The sequence below is a fragment of the Homo sapiens genome, chromosome 12 (assembly GCF_000001405.40).
Source record: "Homo sapiens chromosome 12, GRCh38.p14 Primary Assembly".
NCBI lineage: Eukaryota > Metazoa > Chordata > Mammalia > Primates > Hominidae > Homo > Homo sapiens.
Window position 1 is genome coordinate 70,336,740 of NC_000012.12, and position 19,096 is coordinate 70,355,835.

Here is a 19,096-nt window from a genome sequence, read left to right on the forward strand (position 1 = left end):
CATCCCTTTAATCATTCCCGTTGCTCTCCTTGGACCATCTCTAGTTTCTCCATATCGTTCTTGAATTGTGGAGCCCCAAACTGGATATTGTTCTCCAATAAGGGCCCGACTAATGCCAAGTATAGTGGGAGGATTATTTCCCAGTTCTTGCATGTTTTACATCTATAACATGGAGTCCAAGAAAATCTGAAATAATATGGAGTTGTTTTATAATTGATTGCAATTTGCTCACTCTGTAAGTCGCTTTCAAGTAGAATACTGACATATTCTTTTAAATTTTATTTTGTTCATTTGTATTTGAGAGTTAACTGGTATTTATAATATCTAGTCAAATATTTAAATAAAACAAGCTTTTAAACCAAAATTGTTAATAATTAATCCAATATCAAATTAAATTTTTAAGCACCTACGCATGACATGGATTACTGTTGATTTCCCTTGTATTATTTTGTATGTTGAGTTATTAATCAGTAAATGAAAATTTAGTTCTTCATTGTTACCCTGGATACTAATTTTTTGAAGTACGCTTTCATAGCATTAAAAAAAAGAAACCTTTTGGTGTATTATCATGAGGAAAGTTAACTTTATAATCTGTAGCAAAATATCATAAATATCAATTGCAATTCTCCGGATTATTTTCATTACATAGTTGGAATGGTAACAAAACCAGCAAATGAACAATCCCAGGACTTCTCAATACACAATGAAGATTTTCCAGCATTACCAGGCTCCAGCTATAAAGATCCAACATCAAGTAATGATGACAGTAAATCTGTAAGTAACTGAGAAGTGTGTATGTGAGTGATGTAGTTTTTCCCTTCAGATTTCTCTTATATTAACAATTACTTACTAAATACTATTACAAAACTGTTTTATCTTGATATCTGTAATAACCTAACTTCTGAAGAATGTGGAAAAGCTTTATAACTTAGAAGATAGCCTATTTTTTTCCTATTTCATATAGGTTTGCAAATTTCTGTTGAACTTCTCAGAGTTAATTTAGACTTTTATTGTAGTCCCTGTCAGCTGGATCCCATGAAGTTTGATAATATAGCCTTCTAAGGAGCTGTGTTTTTCTTGAGTAAGTTTTCTCCTTGAAGAATTTATACACATTTTTATACCTGTGTTGATTCAACCAACTCAGCTTCTTCTTTCTGACTTAACAAATATGTTTATTTCTTCCACATTTCACTGAAAATAGCTTTTCTCTGTGTGTGATGGGAGTTTATATATTATTAAAATAATTGATAAAGAAGATCGGTAAGAATTAAAATAAGTACAAAGTTTTAAAGCTTGTATGTCTAACTTATCTTCAAGGTAGCTTTGGTGATTTTAGGTAATATACTATATTTAGTTTCTCTTTTACATGAAAGCATTGAGGAGTGTAACTTCAAGTGTATCCCAAAGCATAAAGACCTGAGAAAGAGATAGATTTTTTTTTTTCTGTGACTGAAGATCTGAGATAAATAAGATATTTTCCCTTGATTTCTTTTTCTTTAAATACTCAAATGTGGATGATATAGGATTTATTTGTATACCATGGAACAATGATGGAAACAATTTTCTATAGAACTTGAAAAACAGGTAATAATTTAACTACCAATTTAAATGTAATAAAGAATAAATAGCAAGGTATTAATATGTGAACTTGAATTTGTATACTTAACAAATTTTAATGTCACATTTAATTTTTTTCATGCTAGAATTTGAATACATCTGGCAAGACAACTTCAAGTACAGATGGACCCAAATTCCCTGGAGATAAAAGTTCAACAACACAAAATAATAACCAGCAGAAAAAAGGGATCCAGGTGTTACCTGATGGTGGGACTCTAGAAATCTATGTCAAAGATATTATAGAATGCTTTTTTTTCTATTTTTTAACTTTTTCTTGAAAATAAAAGCAACTGTGTTTTTCCTACCCAGGTCGGGTTACTAACATTCCTCAAGGGATGGTGACGGACCAATTTGGAATGATTGGCCTGTTAACATTTATCAGGGCAGCAGAGACAGACCCAGGAATGGTACATCTTGCATTAGGAAGTGACTTAACAACATTAGGCCTCAATCTGAACTCTCCTGAGTAAGTTTTTTCTGTTTTTCCATGTCTGTATATAATACCTCTTCAGACTTCCAGTTTTTAATATCATGTCATCAAATTATCTCACCTACTGCTACTCATTGTTAACCTGCTGATTCTCTGGGTCATTCCCATTCATGTTAGCTCTTAGATCACTGTCACTCTGCAGTATTCCTTTTATAATTTGGCATTTTATGTGTGTGTGTGTGTGTGTGTGTGTGTGTGTGTGTGCATGTGCATGTATATATGTGTGTGTGTATATATATATATATACACACACACACACACACACACCTTCCAGAATCCTGAAATCTCAGCTCCTTGAATTTCTTTCCTCCAGGAATTTTTGTCCTGTAGTATACTTCAGCCACTCCTTTAGTTATCCCTTTGACCTAGTCATTGTTCGTAACTGCAGTCTCTCAATTTTAAAATCTGAGCTCGCATGCTTTCCGACTTCCACTTTCTATTTTCTATTTCTCTTCTTCTAGTACTGTGATTCCTGTAATCATTTCACTCCATTGGGACCTTCAATCTATTGATTCTTCGGTATTTTAACTGTTCTTCCAGATCCCCGTCTCTTTTCCCCTGTGATCAACTCCCTTCTTACCCATGAAATTCTGTGGTCAGTCATAATTGTTCATTTACATATCCCATGACTACTTGCCATTTTCTCATGTTGTTATACTTGCATGGCCAAAGCTACAGTACTGATTGTTTCTGCCTATTTCATTCCTGACCTGTGCTACTGAGCTCTGCTAGAGAAAAACACATGATATCACTGCCTGGTCTTCCTTTATTTTCATGCCCAGGAGCCTCAAAAGTAGGCTCTTAATTCTACCAGTGATAATTATACCTTGCATGCTTAGTCCATTTACTCTTTTGCTCTCTTATGCAACTATCGTACACTTCTGCATGCCCCTAATACCTTTTCTCCTTATTCTTACTATCAAATGATGATCTTGCTTTTCACTTTTACTGTACTAAGAAAGATGGAAGCAATTAGAAGAGCACATTTAGCACAGTCTAGCCAACAAATCTGACTACCTACAGCCACCTACACCTATGTTATTCTTGTTTTCCACCCTATTACCATAATTGACCCATGCGTTCTACTTACAACACATTTTCACACTTTGTTGGGTCATTTTCATCAACATAGAAATACATTGTTACTTCTCTCATCTTAGAAGAAAATCTTCCTTTGATCCAACCTCCTCCGTAAGTTACTTTCCCATTTCTTTATTTCCCTTTGAAGCGAAACTTTTCAAAGAGTCATCTCCATTTCTCCGACTTGGTCTTCTCCCATTCTCTGGTAAGCCCATTTCAGTCAGGATTTTGTCCCTGCCACTTCACTAAAGCTGCTTTTATCAAGGTCACCAAATGACCTTCATGTTATTAAATTCAGTGGTCACTTGGAGGAACTCTTGCTCCTTGATACACATTCTTGTACTTGAATTTGAGAGCACCATTTTTACCTCATCTTCACTGGTTGGTCTTTTTCAGTTTCCTTTGCTGGTACCTCCTCCTTTTCTTCTTGACCTCAGTGTCATTCCTCTTCTCTGCATTTACATCCTTGATGATCTTTTTCTAGTCTTATTGTTTTAAATACCATATATATTGAGGAATCCCAAACATATGTTTCCATTCCACACTTCTGAGTTTGAGATTTCTACATTCAATTGCCAATTAAATATTTCTTGAATGATCACCCCCCAACTTATTCTGTCTACAGCCTTTCCAATCTCAGTTAGTGGTAACTCTGTACTTCCAGAAACTTGGCATTATTCTTAACTCCTCTTTCTTTTATACCCCATAATCAGGCTTTTCCCAAAATATATACAGAATCTAACCAAAGCTCACTACTTTTAACTGCTACCACCCTTGTTTGAATCATTCTCTCTTGCCTGAATACTCCATTAGCCAGTCACTGGGGGTCCCTGATTGTCCTTATACCCCTTCCCGTACAATCTCTTCATATAACAGCCAAGACAATCCTTTTTTAATACATTACTCCTCTGCTCAACACCCAGTAAATGTTTGTGGTTTCATTATGATTAAAAACCCCAAATCTTTTTTTTTTTTTTTTTTTTTTTGAGACAGAGTATTGCTCTTGTCGCCCAGGCTGGAGTGCAGTGATGCAATCTCGGGTCATTACAACCTCCACCTCCCAGGTCCAAGCGATTCTCCTGAGTAGCTGGGATTGCAGGCATGTGCCACCATGCCCAGCTAATTTTTGTATTTTTAGTAGAGACGGGATTTCACCATGTTGGCCAGGCTGGTCTCTTAACTCCTCACTTTTCAAGTGGTCTGCCCACCTTGGCCTTCCAGAGTATTGGAATTATAGGTGTGAGCCACCGCGCTTGACCAGAAACCCCAAATCTTCACAGGCCTGCAAGGTCTTACATGATTATTGTTTGTCCCCTAACCCCACCTCAACAGCTTTTCCCTTTGTTCACTGTATTCCAGCTTCACTGGCCACCTTGTTATATCTCAGGCATGTCAGTCATGTCCCTGCCTTAGTTGCTCTAGGAGTTCCCTCAGACTAGAAGAGTCTTCTGCCAGATAATTAATATGACTATGTCCCTTATAGCCTTCAAATCTTCAGATCTGACCACCTTAATGAAACCTAACTGACCACCCTATTTAATAATTATGCATCCAGTCTCCCCTCCCAGTTCCCCTCTAACATGGGCCATTGTTTATTTATTTATTCTGTTAATTGATTTTGTCTGTCCCCCTCCAATCCACCATCCTCAACCAGAAAGTAAGTTTCATGTTGTCAGTGATCTTGTTTTGCTCACTGATGTGTCGTAAGCTCCTAGAACAGTGCCAGGCATATAATAGGCACTCAGTAAATATTTGATGAATTTAAACTTTTGCAAATAGTTACTCAGTTTTCTTCTTGCCACACAAATAAATGGGAAATTTATTTAAAATTTATTTAAAATTTAATTTATATTGGGAGCATGGTATTGAAGAATTTAAAGCATCTTGAGTTGAAATCAAGTAAAAGTAGAAAATTTTTAATCATGTTTTGTATATTGTGATATGTTGTGTTATTTATACTGTATTGCAAGAATACTGAGGGAAGGAGTCCTATCATATTTTACAGACACACACACAAACACACACAGTCTTCATTTGCTTCTGTATAAGTCAGTAAACCCAAGTAAGGGAATTAGAAGTAAAGATGGTCATTTTACAGTTGGAGTCTTTGTTTTTCCTGAAATAAAATTAGAAATCTCTTTTTCTGGATTTCAAAATGTTTTCTTTTCCTCCTTATTCAGAAATCTCTACCCCAAATTTGCGTCACCCTGGGCATCTTCACCTTGTCGACCTCAAGACATAGGTAGGAGAATCTATTTGTGTTTAGACCTTTTAAAAAGAAATTTACAATTGAGAATCAGTTAATAAGGCTTTTTTCATTTTATTATCCAGACTTCCATGTTCCATCTGAGTACTTAACGAACATTCACATTAGGGATAAGGTGAGTGTAGTTTATTATTCTACTCAGTCAGCATGAATTTATCTATTTTTCACATGTTTTTCAGTTCAGGCAGCATACTATTTTTGAAATAATTAGTAATGGTCTCAGGGATATGCTTTCATATGTCCATGTTAACTTGTTAAATGGTAAATGTTAGGACTGGTAAAAAATAAAAATTCTTACATTTAACAACAGGTTACAACCATAACCGCAGTTGATGAGAATAAACTAGATTGGAACATTTGATAAATATCCTTCTGATAATCTTATTTTATGACCTTACCAGTAAAAAGATTTTCGTTACAAGTATTACAGATACAGTGTTTTTAATGAGATGGTCTGTATCTTTAAAAACTATTTATGACCTTTGACTTTTCTCTGTATTTTTTCATTTCCATTTTTTTAAATCACCTAAAATTCTAATTCTAAAGTAGTTATTAACAACAGATTACAGCTTAATCTCTCTTTTTTCAATCTAAGAAAGAAAATGGTGGCACTTTTTGCTTTAGAAGAACTGAGAGTTTGTTTCTATTACCAAAAAATATTCACAATGGTACCTAAATTTTAGCCTTGGGAAACTACAATTTAGTGAAAAAATATATTTTTGTTATATATTTGTGTATAAATATCTATGTGTATGTGTATATATACAACAGCATTCTGAGTGTGCCTTACAGTTCTGTGGTCAAGTGGATGTTGATGTGGACAGGCAAGTAAAGGGATACCTTTCTCAATGTCTTCTAATACTTGAGTAGATAAAAGGCAAGAAATACAAGATGGAGAGGTCTCCTATTTTCTATTTGCGGATTGTGTGATTTGCTCCCACCACCACTGTAGAGCTCTTTCGCTCCAATTACCAAAGTGTTCCAGAACCTTTTCTTATTACCAATTTGAGAAATACTAATTTAGGAGAATTTGTCACATTGGGGCTGCTGCCTGAATAGGGATAACATGAATGGAGAGAAAAATTACATTCAGAGAATGTGTAATAACCAAATAAGTATTTCGATATAGGATCAAATAACGAGATAAAAATGTTGTTTTGGGACACTTTTAAGGTTTATTTAAATGTGAAAATTTGAGACTATTGAACCTATGTTTTACAGTTTGGTAAGCAGTTATGTTTCTACCTTGGGGAGAGAAATGTAAAGCAATCATCTTTCAGACATCTATTTAAACAAACTGAAAAGCCATTTCTTTATGATTTTTGTATTCATCATCTGTGATTTGCTGAAAGCATACAACTGACTTGTGAATCATTCACTGTCAGATATAGATTCAGTTTAACATTTTTTATAAGCCGTCTATATATTTGGCACTCTACAAGGTGCTTTCATATACCTTCACTCATTTTATTTACTTTCTTAGTAACCCTCATAGGTGTCATTGTCCACATTTGACAAGTAAAGCTAAGAGATTTTAAATAACTAGGACACAGTCATATTAATGAGTAATAAAACCAGGACTTGAATACAAGTCCTAGATCTCTGAGCACAATGCTATTGTTAGGTTCTTTTCCCCATTGGGTATTAAATCCTTTTAGTGGATCTTGCTTGGAAGTCTTTATTGAGCTTTTCTTCCAGTCAGCATATCAATTAGATGTATCAGAAATAATTGTTTAAATGACTTCAGTCATTTAAATGAGGAAATTCCCTTTTAGAATCTTAACTACCTATCTGTGTAATCATGTAATAACAGTTATCTACTACAAAGTGGGGAGTTTCTGTTTATCTCTCCATTTTTTCTTTAGTAGTAGCAACTATATATTAGGATTTGCAGATTTGTTTTATATTTCAGAATAAGTTATTTTTCTTTTTCAGCTGGCTGCAATAAAACTTGGCCGATATGGTGAAGACCTTCTCTTCTATCTCTATTACATGAATGGAGGAGACGTATTACAACTTTTAGCTGCAGTGGAGCTGTATGTTCAAAGTATTTTAATCACTTTTGTATTATAGTGGATCTTGACTATGCTGAAAACATCTTTAAGTGATGATGGCTATCTTTAAATGGAACTATTTCTCCATCAAGAAATTTATTTTTACATTATTAAAGTGAATTTAATTTAGATTAAAACCGTATCTTAACCATGGCTTCATAATCTATATACCTAAAAAGAATTTCAAACTTAATGCTGAAGCTGGGTGCAGTGGCTCACACTTGTAATCCCAGCACTTTGGTGAGGTGGACAGATCACTTGAGGCCAGAAGTTAGGGACAGCCTGGGCAACACAGCAAACCACATTTCTACAAAAAATAAAGGAAAATATTAGCTAGGTGTGGTGGCACACATCTATATAGTCCTAGCTACTTGGGAGGCTACAGCAGGAGGATCGCTTGAGCCCAGGAGTTTGAGGTGTCAGTGAGCTATGATTGTGCCATTGCACTCTAGTGTGGCTGACAGTGCAAGACCCTGTCTCTAAAAATAACTAATAAGTGCCAAATTTGTAAGAAGACAGAATTGACATAACTCATGGATTTGGTGAATCTAATTTTTGTAAATATGTGAATTATATGATATTCATGACTATGTTTTTTATTCCTTGTGGAACCATATGTATAAATAATTCGATACTGAATTTAATCATTTCATAAACATTATTACTTATAAGCAAGGCAGTGTGCATATTTGTTGTACGTTTTGAAGTGCTGATTAAAGTCCACATTTTCATTATCAGCAGTCTATTGGCCAGTTTAAACAAATATTAATGTAAAGAAATTGGTTCATTGATATTTTTTCCCTGAGCAGTTCTGTATTTACCTGATGCTCTAAAATTAAGTTTTCTGTCGTTACTCAAATGTACAGTTGGCAACACATTTTGTTATCAATAGACAATTATGTTTACTATAGAGTAAACTATTAGTAATTATTTATGACCTTATGATTGGGAGACCTTTTCACAAATTTAAGTATTTCATAACATTTCTAATAACATTTCTATAAATGGCTTTGGATCAAATAGTTTAAAGTATATAATTCAGTATGTTGATAATGAATTGTTTCGTTTCATTTCACAACTGAGAGGATTTTTCCCTTATGTTTTTCCTTCATTTTTGTGAGAATAGAGATTATTACCTGTTGTTCCTTTTAATTGTTCATAAGTAAATAAATACATTCAGGCACTCATTCATCTATCACTGGCAGTTCTGTTTTCATATTTTATTTATGTCTTAAAAACTACCTCATGACGTTGGTAGGAAAGCATTTCTTTACATGGAGGTTTATTTTGTGGGACATTACCTCCTCTGGATGTTACTTCCTCAGTTTACAAGTAGTGTAAATTCTCATTGATTCTTTTATGAATTGTAATGGATTTTCTCTTAGCTTTTGAGAATTTAGAATCTGAAATTTGAATAAAAAGTAAATATATTCAGTATAATTTTTCAAAATGCTCTAGTTTCAAGATAGTTAAAAAATTATGTGGAATTTACATAATTAATTCAAATATAGTTTGTATTTAGTTCCTTATCAAATAATGCAAATAGTTGGAGATACCTCAATTTCTTTTGAGTGTTAAGAAGAGCAAGAAAGGAGTGAAGTTTTTGCAACACATTGTGTCTTTATTTGGTCTGCCTATGTTTTTATCACATTGCTTATAAAACTTTTAAAATCCTTGTTTGTATAAAAAGTTTCTTTAGTTAAATAAAAGTGTGTGTATTAATTAGTGTGCCTTCTGGACAAATTAAGAAATATTTTTTCTATATTTCAATGCGGTTGTATTTAATAACTTATAATAAATGAGTAGGAAGCATTCATATTTATTTATTTTATGTGTAATTTTTTTTTTCCGGAGGAAAGCTTTACAAAATGTAGAACATGTTTGATGTAAGCCACAGGAAAAAGTTAATTATCTTTTCTTTTAAAAATTGAAGTTTTAACCGTGATTGGAGATACCACAAAGAAGAACGAGTATGGATTACCAGGGCACCAGGCATGGAGCCAACAATGAAAACCAATACCTATGAGAGGGGAACATATTACTTCTTTGACTGTCTTAACTGGAGGAAAGTAGCTAAGGTATATTTCTTTCCATGTGCAAATGTATAAATCTAAACTTGAAAAAAGAAGTGTCCTCTTTTATCTGTTTATAAGTACCAATACATCCAGTTCCAGTAATGTGCCACATATTTGCCAACTGTTTAATTCCATCTCCTTGGCTTGACACTCTTAGAAGAGTGTCCCAAAACAATTGGTTTCACTGATAGTTACATTATTGAATTTGGTAAGAGGTTTTGTAATTTTGCATAAGCCTTGGTAACATTTGAAATATTTTTTGTGTCTACTGCTTTGTAAAATAAAGATACTCTCTTGCAACCCCAGTCATATATTTTTATATTTTTGTAACTTTAAGCAAGGATGAGATTTTTCTAAAAGCAGTATATAAACAGGCTTTTTACACTTGGACTAGTTGCAGGAAATACATCTGAATGTTTATTTGCAAGTAATTTTAAGAAAGAAAATTACAGGCGTTAACTATGACTATTTCTGTGACTATTTTGCTAAATATTGGGGAGAAATCGGCTATGGAGAAATGTTGATTATTTTATTTTGGTTTTGCAACTTTTCCTCACTTAAACGCCTTTCTAACCGTCCCATGTGCAAAATTTTCATCAGTGTCAATGCATATTTCATACCTGCATTTAGTACGTTGTGTTTATTTAGTCTGCCTAGTAGAGAATATATTATTCTCTACATGTGGAGAGAATATATTCTCTCCACTCTATATATTATTCTCCACATTATCTGATTTCACAACTCCATGATTTTTCTGATACATTTTCCATCAATGATTCTGAGGTTTATAATTAAAGAGTTAAATTTGTTTGTTTTAAATAAATTTAAACAGCAGAAAAATGTTTCTGACAGTTCTTTGGACAATTTTTTAGTTGTCAATTTGTTTTTTTGTTTGTTTGTAGTTTTGAATCTGCTTTACTAAAATGATTATTTAAAAAGGTAAAACATTTTAAGAAGACAATGTAAAATGCCTACCAGATATTTATCACAAAAATTTTTACATCCCAAGATTTCATATAAAACTCAAAAAGCCGGGTGCAGTGGCTCACACCTGTAATCCCAGCACTTTGGGAGGCTGAGGTGGGTGGATCATGAGATCAGGAGATCAAGACCATCCTGGGTAACAGAGAAACCCCGTCTCTACTAAAAATACAAAAAAAAATTAGCTGGGCCTGGTGGAGGGTGCCTGTAGTCCCAGCTACTCGGGAGGCTGAGGCAGGAGAATGGCGTGAACCTGGGAGGCGGAGCTTGCAGTGAGCCGAGATCGCGCCACTGCACTCCAGCCTGGGCGACAGAGCGAGACTCCGTCTCAAAAAAAAAAAAACAAAAACAGATGTCCCCTAACAGACAACACCAAATAAGATCCACATAAGAAATTAAATCTTTTTTTTTAGATGTTTCTCAGTGGTAAATGTCTTTACTTCTCAGACCAAGTCCACATACTGTATTTTGTATCTGAATTATTTTAACAGTTCCAATTCATGTGACTATTGTGTTTTCAGAAGGTGTATTTATGAGTTAACCTTCTAGTTAAATAATCACATTAATTAAAAATAGTGCCTGAGCTATTGTATATGTTACCTGCTTTTTAAGATATGTAGTATACAGTAGAAAGCTATAGCCTTTGTATCATGGATTTGAATTTAACTCCTATTGCTGTTATTTATGCTTTGACCTTCTACAATTTTCTTTTTCATGCCTGTTTCCTCTTTTGTAAAATTGAGGTGAGATTTTCCTCTAAGTTTTTATGAAGATTAAATGAGATTTCATATATGTTTATATACACACACACATGCTGATTACAGTGCTTGGCACACGTTGGGTATTTGATACATGGTGGTGGTTGTACTAGTTTACTGCTATTGTTTTTATCATCGTTATTATAGCTACTGTTTTTGCAAGGATGAAAAAATTAGAGCTGATTGTTAATTAGGTTAGGTCATTGGTTCTCAAACTATAGCTTGTATCAGAATTACCTGGAAAACTTGTTAAAACACAAATTTCTGGACCATACCTCCATCATTTATGATTTAGTGAGTCTGTGGGTGGGGCCTGAGAATTGCATTTCTAACAAGCTCCTAAGTGACGGTAGTAATGACATGCTGGTCTTGGTCCAGAACTATATTTAAAGAACCTGTGGATTAGGTGATGCTACAGGAGTCAAAAACATCTTTGGAAGAAGAAAAAAATTTTATTAGGAAAGAACTGAAGTTTTCTCCATTCAATTTGAACATTTTTGCTCAATATTATTGTAAATTATTCCAAACTTACATATGTAAAAAGGGGTGGATATTTTCAGTAAACAGCTACATAATTTTAGTTAAATTTTGTTAGATATATGTATGAAGAAATCAATTTGTGAGAAAATCAGCTTTCCAGAATTAAGTTCTCCTCATGAAGTTAAATATTTAGAAAACAATGTTAACATTAATGTAGGACTCCTTTAATTTCCAGCAAAAGCAATTCCTCAGTCAGGTAAATGTCATTTTAAAGAAAATTGTATCTATTTAAATATGGATTTACATATTTTTTATATATTATATATAAAACATAATTTAGCTCAGTTTTATCTATCGTGTACAGTTGAGCTTTTGTCTTTATCTTTAAATTTTTTAACTGTGATGTGAAAAATGTGAGAAATAATATCATTAAGTTACTCCCTCAGAAATCTCTTTCAAGGTAATAGTTTGTTGGTACCTTGCACTGACACGCTTTAAAATTATTTTCATAGTAATGAAAACAGGCAGAATTGTTGGTATTAAGATATTAATGAGCAGCTCACTCTTGGTTATATTAAAATACAAATTCATGCACTTAAAATTTTGAAGTTGCAGTATATTAACGGGATAAATTTTTCAAAAAATTCTTTAAAGGATGTGTTCAGTGCTTTCCCAGAATATTGATTAGTAATTAAGAAATCTGGGACCTGTTCATAAGTATATTTATTAACAGCCTTCATCAAATTATAGAAAATCCATTAACATGTCATGTCACAAGTTGAGTCCCCATCTGTAAAGTGGGTGTGCCTTACTATTCACAGTTAAAGAACGTATATTAAATAACCTCAATTCACTGTAAGAAGCCTACAGTATGAATTAACATTTTAAATAATAGCTGATATTATGGTGTTCTTGAAAGGTACTGAACTGGTCTACACCATAATCCTGGAGTCCATTCATAATATTTTATGTCCATTCATAATATTTTGTATGAGCATTTTTCCCCAAATCACTTACTATTTTCAGATAATTGTAATATTAAATAAGGGATTAGATAATCTAAACCAGAAGTATTTCTTATCCTCTAAAAATTTTGTGACCCTGAGTTCTAGAATCCAATCCATTATTTATTTACATAATTTCCTGTAAATAATATATACATTAAAATGTTGACATTGGTTGGGCATGGTGGCTCATGCCTGTAATCCTAACACTTTGGGAGAATGAGGCAAGACGATCACTTGAAGCTGGGAGTTTAAGATCAGCCTGGGCAACATAGCAAGACTCTGTCTCTATAGAAAGAGAGAGAGAGAGAAACATAGCCAGGTGTGGTGGTATGCTCCTGCAGTCCTAGCTACTTGGGAGGCTGAGGTAGGAGGATTGCTTGAGCCCAGGAGTTCAAGGTTGCAGTGAGCTGTGATTGCATCACTATACTCCAGCCCAGGTGACAGAGCCAGATCCTATTTTTTTTTTTAATTTAACATTGTATTTTGCTTATTCTTTCCTTTTATATACTCATTAACTTTTTAGCAGGCCATGTTCTCCTGTGTCGTTTTGCTGGAATTACTCATATTTTACTAATTTTAAATTTGCAGCAATTCAGATAGTATATATAATCTTCATGCATTAAATTTTTAAAATAATTTCTTCCACAGTTAATTTTTAGGTGATAGAGGCTGCCTTATTATCAGTAGCTTTCTCAAAGACTTAAAATTTAAGAATTCTTTCGGCCTAATTTGACCTCGTGGATCTATCAGGATTTCTAACAGTTAAGATTTTTTATGTCACAGTCTGATATAAATGTGATTTTTCATTAATTTCACAGTTACATATTAGTACATCCTTATACTTTAGTAATGTGTACTTTTCTTCAAAGATTATTTCTAATAACTGTATTTAAGATAGTTTGCTACTTCCTAAAATTTAAGTTAATATGGATTTATTATACAGGTTGAGCATTCTGATTCAAAAATCTAAAACCTGAATACTCCAAAATCTGTAACTTCTGAATGCCAACATGGTGTCACAAGTGGAAAATTCCATACCTGACACCTTTGCTTTCTGATGGTTCAGTGTACAGTGTAAACAAACCTTATTTTCTGCACAAAATATTAGTAACATTGTATAAAATTACCCTCAGGGTATGTGAATAAGGTATATATAAAACATAAATGAATTTCATGGTTAGACTTGGGTCCCATCCCCAAGATACCTCATTTTATATGTATAAATATTCCAAAATCCAAACACTTCTGTTCCCAGAATAAGCAAAATCTCAGATAAGAGATACTCAACATGTAGGTAAGAGAAAGCTGACATTTCATGAGAATTTGAGAAAACACCTCTGCAGTGTGTGTTTCTCTACATAACTAGATCAGTGATTACATTAATGTTTTTGTAATATTATTTGACTATATGAATCCATTGCATTCAGTTTTGCTTGAATTGAACAAGTAACCTTTGGAGAATACATAGCCTAATTTTATTAATAGAAGAACTAAGGTATGAAAAAGTTGTCTAAAAAGTATTTGGAACTCTTTCTAGCCTTTGCAATCATATTATAATCTAGAAATCCTTTTTTTTCCACTAAAAGCAAATATATACATAGACCCTCTAATGTATCATTTGATAATATTAGAAAAATTAAATGTTTTGTTCCTAAAACAAAGGAAGAAAGCTTGTGTTTATTCATCATATATTAATTACACATCCATTAGGGGCTTGGCACTATTCCAAGTTGTAGGTAGTAGTATACAAAGTAGATAGACACTTGCTCCTACAGAATGTATGAGGTTGTGCATGTGTGTAGTATGTGTGTGTATATATAACAAACATGTAAATGGTGTTACCAGTAATCAAAGTAACTTATGTATTTTAAGAAGAATAAAAGTACGTGGAAAACAAGATTTTAAAACGTGGAAGGCAAAATTTTACCTATGTAATTTCTAAATCTCTGATCTCTATATCAAAATTTCTAAATCTCTATATCAAAATTATTTACGCTGCTTAGGTTTAAACTATATTTTTCTGGGGGAAAATGTACATTGATAAAGTTAATCTAGTTTGAATTCCTAGTCATACATTGTAGTTCATCAATGTGAAAAATTTTAGTTAACTTACTCAGTATAACTTACCACTTTGTGGAAGTTACAATTAGACTTTTTTTCCCTGTAACTACACATTTTGAAAACAAAAATGCCAATTTTAATTTCAGAAGAATGATAACAAATTTTCTTCACGAATTCAGATAGTCAACTTGAACCAAGCAATAAAATTATTTTAATTCCTAGCTAGGGCTGGGAGAGGGGGAGTAGTGCTACACAGTGTATTAGGGCAGGATGTCATGGTTGTGGTGGTGATTCTGGTGTTTGCTAATTTTTACTGATAAGCAAATAACCTCTGTGTCTTAATTACTGTACCAGTCACATGAAGGCAACCTTTTCAGGCTAAAGTCACCATGGTGTACCTTCTTTATAAACTCTCAGGGGACTGATTTTTTTTTTCCTTTTTCTTCACCTTATACCAAGAGAGAAGGGGACTGAATTCTTTCAGCATTTCTGGATTGCCTTGTAATGAAGTAAATGAATCTGTTTTGGATCTTGGACTAAAAATATTAAAAATAATGTGTTACACTACAAAAGACACAGGCTTTTTGTCACATGGAGGCTTTTTGTCACATGGGTCTGGATCCTAATGCTAGGTGTGCCGCTTACTGATGACTTGTCCAAGTTACTTGTAAGCCTCATTTTCTTCAGGTACAAAATGAAAATAATGATATCTGCTTTACAGAATTATTACAAAGATTAGAATAAAATTAGCTGTATCTCTAATTTTAGCACATACTAGGCTTTCAATAAATTCTGCTGTTAGGTCTGTAATATCTTTAAATTTATTTAAGTGTAATATCTTTAAATTTTAAATACTTGGTGTTCCATCTTAAAATTTGGTCATTATAGTCTAGGTTTTCATTTTAATTTAATAATGGAAATACTCATCATGGAATCAGTTTGAAACCAGACAGATAAGGTAAAATATGTTAACCCATGGTAGCTAATGTCACTTGTTGCCTTAATCTTTAATACATAATACATATTAAGCTTCATAATTCTTTAAGTTGGATTATGCAGTAATTTGTGCTAATTCAGATGGTAGAATTGGTAAGAGGCTTTTAGAGCCTCTTGCTTATTGGGGTTGCAGAGGTATTTGTTGTTTGCATTTTTTTCTAATATACATAGCTATTCTGCATCTCTATTCTTGATCTTGGGTGGGAAGTATCATGAAGAAATTATGTCACCATTCTTAAATTTTAAAACTCATGAAGTTAATACAGTATTTTGAAAGTTTGATTAAAGTGAGCTGCTATCTAGTTTTCAAATGTTCCTACAGCAGAACCATTGTCTAGTTTTCGGTGGCAGTTGATTTATATTTGAGTCAGGGTTTTGGGTTTGTGAAATGCAAGTCTAGTGATGTGTGAGTTTTAAGTTCATTATTTTCCCCAGATTTTAATGAGGTTAGAATAATTTTATGTGTTTTCCTTTTTTTTTTTTTTTTAGACGGAGTCTTGCTTTGTCATCTGGGCTGGAGTGCAGTGGTGCAATCTTGGCTCACTGCAACCTCCACCTGCCAGGTTCAAGCGATTCTCCTGCCTCAGCCTCCTGAGTAGCTGCTACTACAGGCGTGCACCACTACGCCCAGCTAATTTTTGTATTTTTAGTACAGACGGGGTTTCACCATGTTGATTGGTAAAGATGGTCTTGATCTCCTGACCTCGTGATCTGCCCACCTAAGCCTCCCAAAGTGCTGGGATTACAGACGTGAGCCACTGTGCGCGGCCCTGCTTATTTTTTAATATAAATGTAATAAAGACAATTTGGAAAATTATTTCTAAACTTTTTTCATGGACAAAATCTTTAGGTTTTTATACTTCGTTGAAGGGGGCTTTATTTTAAATATCCTGTAATTTCCAGTGATTCAGAGATACAGTAATTGCCCCCTCTTTTTTTAAGTTAAAAACAATACACAACATTTCAGTGTCAAGTGGTCCATTAGTAGTCTCTTGACTTACACACAGAAAGCCTGTCTGTATTTTTTGTACTCATTGGTTAGAAACTACAGCACATTATTTTTCTTCAAGCTGTATTTTATGTAGAGGAAAAACAGTTGGTATATCTGTGTTGATGTTGATTCATATATATTGGGTATTTTATTTATTTTTATAGTAAAATGTATTTTGACAAATGTAAAATGAAAAGGGGAAGATATCTAAATTCTTGAATTTGTTTTTATAGGAGTTCCATCTGGAATATGACAAATTAGAAGAACGGCCTCACCTGCCATCCACCTTCAACTACAACCCTGCTCAGCAAGCCTTCTAAAAAAAAAAAAAAAAAAAAAAAAAGACTTCCCTTTTCTTGGGGTATGGCTGTCTCAGCACAATACTCAACATAACTGCAGAACTGATGTGGCTCAGGCACCCTGGTTTTAATTCCTTGAGGATCTGGCAATTGGCTTACGCAAAAGGTCACCATTTGAGGTCCTGCCTTACTAATTATGTGCTGCCCAACAACTAAATTTGTAATTTGTTTTTCTCTAGTTTGAGCAGGGTCTGAATTTTTTCATTTATTTCCTTTTTTGCCAGCAGACAGACTTGAGTCTGTAAAGACAAGCAAATACACTGACAGAAGTTTACCATAGTTTCTAAAATGTAAAAAAGAAAACCCCCAAAAGACTCAAGAAAATTAGACCACAAATTTTGCATTGTTCATTGTAGCACTATTGGTAATAAAATAACAAATGTTTGTGCATTTTTATGTGAAGATCCTTCTCGTATTTCATTTGGAAAGATGAGCAAGAGGTCTGCTTCCTTCATTTTACTTCCCCTTCTGTTTTTGAAAGGCAGTTTCGCCAAGCTTAATGCAAGAATATCTGACTGTTTAGAAGAAAGATATTGCCACAATCTCTGGATGGTTTTCCAGGGTTGTGTTATTACTGAGCTTCATCTTTCCAGAATGAGCAAAACACTGTCCAGTCTTTGTTACGATTTTGTAATAAATGTGTACATTTTTTTTAAATTTTTGGACATCACATGAATAAAGGTATGTATGTACGAATGTGTATATATTATATATATGACATCTATTTTGGAAAATGTTTGCCCTGCTGTACCTCATTTTTAGGAGGTGTGCATGGATGCAATATATGAAAATGGGACATTCTGGAACTGCTGGTCAGGGGACTTTGTCGCCCTGTGCACTAAAAGGGCCAGATTTTCAGCAGCCAAGGACATCCATACCCAAGTGAATGTGATGGGACTTAAAAGAAGTGAACTGAGACAATTCACTCTGGCTGTTTGAACAGCAGCGTTTCATAGGAAGAGAAAAAAAGATCAATCTTGTATTTTCTGACCACATAAAGGCTTCTTCTCTTTGTAATAAAGTAGAAAAGCTCTCCTCACTGCAGTGTTGGCTTTGATTTGAAATTGCGAAATTATTTCTTCAACATGAAAAATAGAGGAAACAAACTGAAGTTTTACAGATATCAAACTGAATGGTGTGACTCAAATGTCTTTTTCAGCTTCCAACAAGTAATTTAATGGAAATATAGTGAACCGTTTCACTTGTAGGTTAAAAATGTAGACAGTATTAATCAGAGAAAACTTTTTTAAATGGGTTGTGGCAGCATTAGAAATAAAACATTCTGAATACTCTTGGAACCCAACCAAAGTACTTCTGTGAAAAATTTATGAGAAATTTCTTGATAGACCTTTAAATTTATCTTTAAGAAGTAATGTGCAAATGAAGGTAAGCCATAAGGTGGGAATGGGTAGACTTTACCTTCAGTTTGCTGGCCTAGATATCTCATATTTACAAGTTAGTGGATTCTTTTCCCATCTAAATACAAATACTGTATTTTAAAAATCAGAAGATTGAAGCTTCCAAAGCAGAACTAGAGAGTAGAAAAAAGGCAATGAGTTTTGATCCTTTAAATTTTCATTTTTAACCTATTTTTCTATGAAGAGTAAAAGTCTGTTGGCATTAACCAAATCTTTTGAAAATGAAACATTTATGACATTGCTGTGTTTGTGTACCAGGAATATAAAGTGGCTTAAAATTTACCTTTTTCTATGCATTTTGAGATATGAGAAACACTATAAAAAACAGGATTTTCTATCTTTCATAATTAAACCAAAGCATCTCCTCAGTAAGAAAGATAGCACTATATAAATCATTTTATCTATTGTGCACAAACCTTCACAGAACACTATACCTTATTTGACATAAACCAGAGTCAAAGCA

At 33.5% G+C, this 19,096-nt stretch overlaps 1 protein-coding gene across 24 annotated transcripts in view, besides 1 other annotated feature; it reads left to right on the forward strand.

Moving 5' to 3' along the window:
• CNOT2 (CCR4-NOT transcription complex subunit 2) overlaps positions 1 to 18,254 on the forward strand; it is a 111,976-nt gene extending 93,722 nt beyond the window's left edge. For 21 of the 24 annotated variants that reach the window (NR_037615.2, NM_001199302.2, XM_047428882.1 and 18 more), the window contains 8 exons: positions 650 to 774; positions 1,704 to 1,824; positions 1,927 to 2,083; positions 5,368 to 5,429; positions 5,519 to 5,568; positions 7,389 to 7,489; positions 9,441 to 9,585; positions 17,090 to 18,254. Coding sequence is in view for 23 of the 24 variants with exons in the window: in NM_001199302.2 (NP_001186231.1) it covers positions 650 to 774; positions 1,704 to 1,824; positions 1,927 to 2,083; positions 5,368 to 5,429; positions 5,519 to 5,568; positions 7,389 to 7,489; positions 9,441 to 9,585; positions 17,090 to 17,176 (848 nt within the window). In the remaining variant the exon portion in view is untranslated. Of the gene's footprint in view, positions 1 to 649; positions 775 to 1,016; positions 1,681 to 1,703; positions 1,825 to 1,926; positions 2,084 to 5,367; positions 5,430 to 5,518; positions 5,569 to 7,371; positions 7,490 to 9,440; positions 9,586 to 17,089 lie in introns of those variants that run through there. The other 3 variants (NM_001414652.1, XM_047428885.1, XM_024448988.2) reach the window with 3 other exon arrangements.
• Positions 15,296 to 15,496: a silencer, noted in NCBI's record as "peak1802 fragment used in MPRA reporter construct". NCBI's record gives its function as "represses an SCP1 promoter by STARR-seq MPRAs in K562 erythroleukemia cells {active_cell/tissue: K562}" and the evidence as "EXISTENCE:reporter gene assay evidence [ECO:0000049][PMID:32103011]".
• Positions 18,255 to 19,096: the final 842 nt, after the last annotated feature.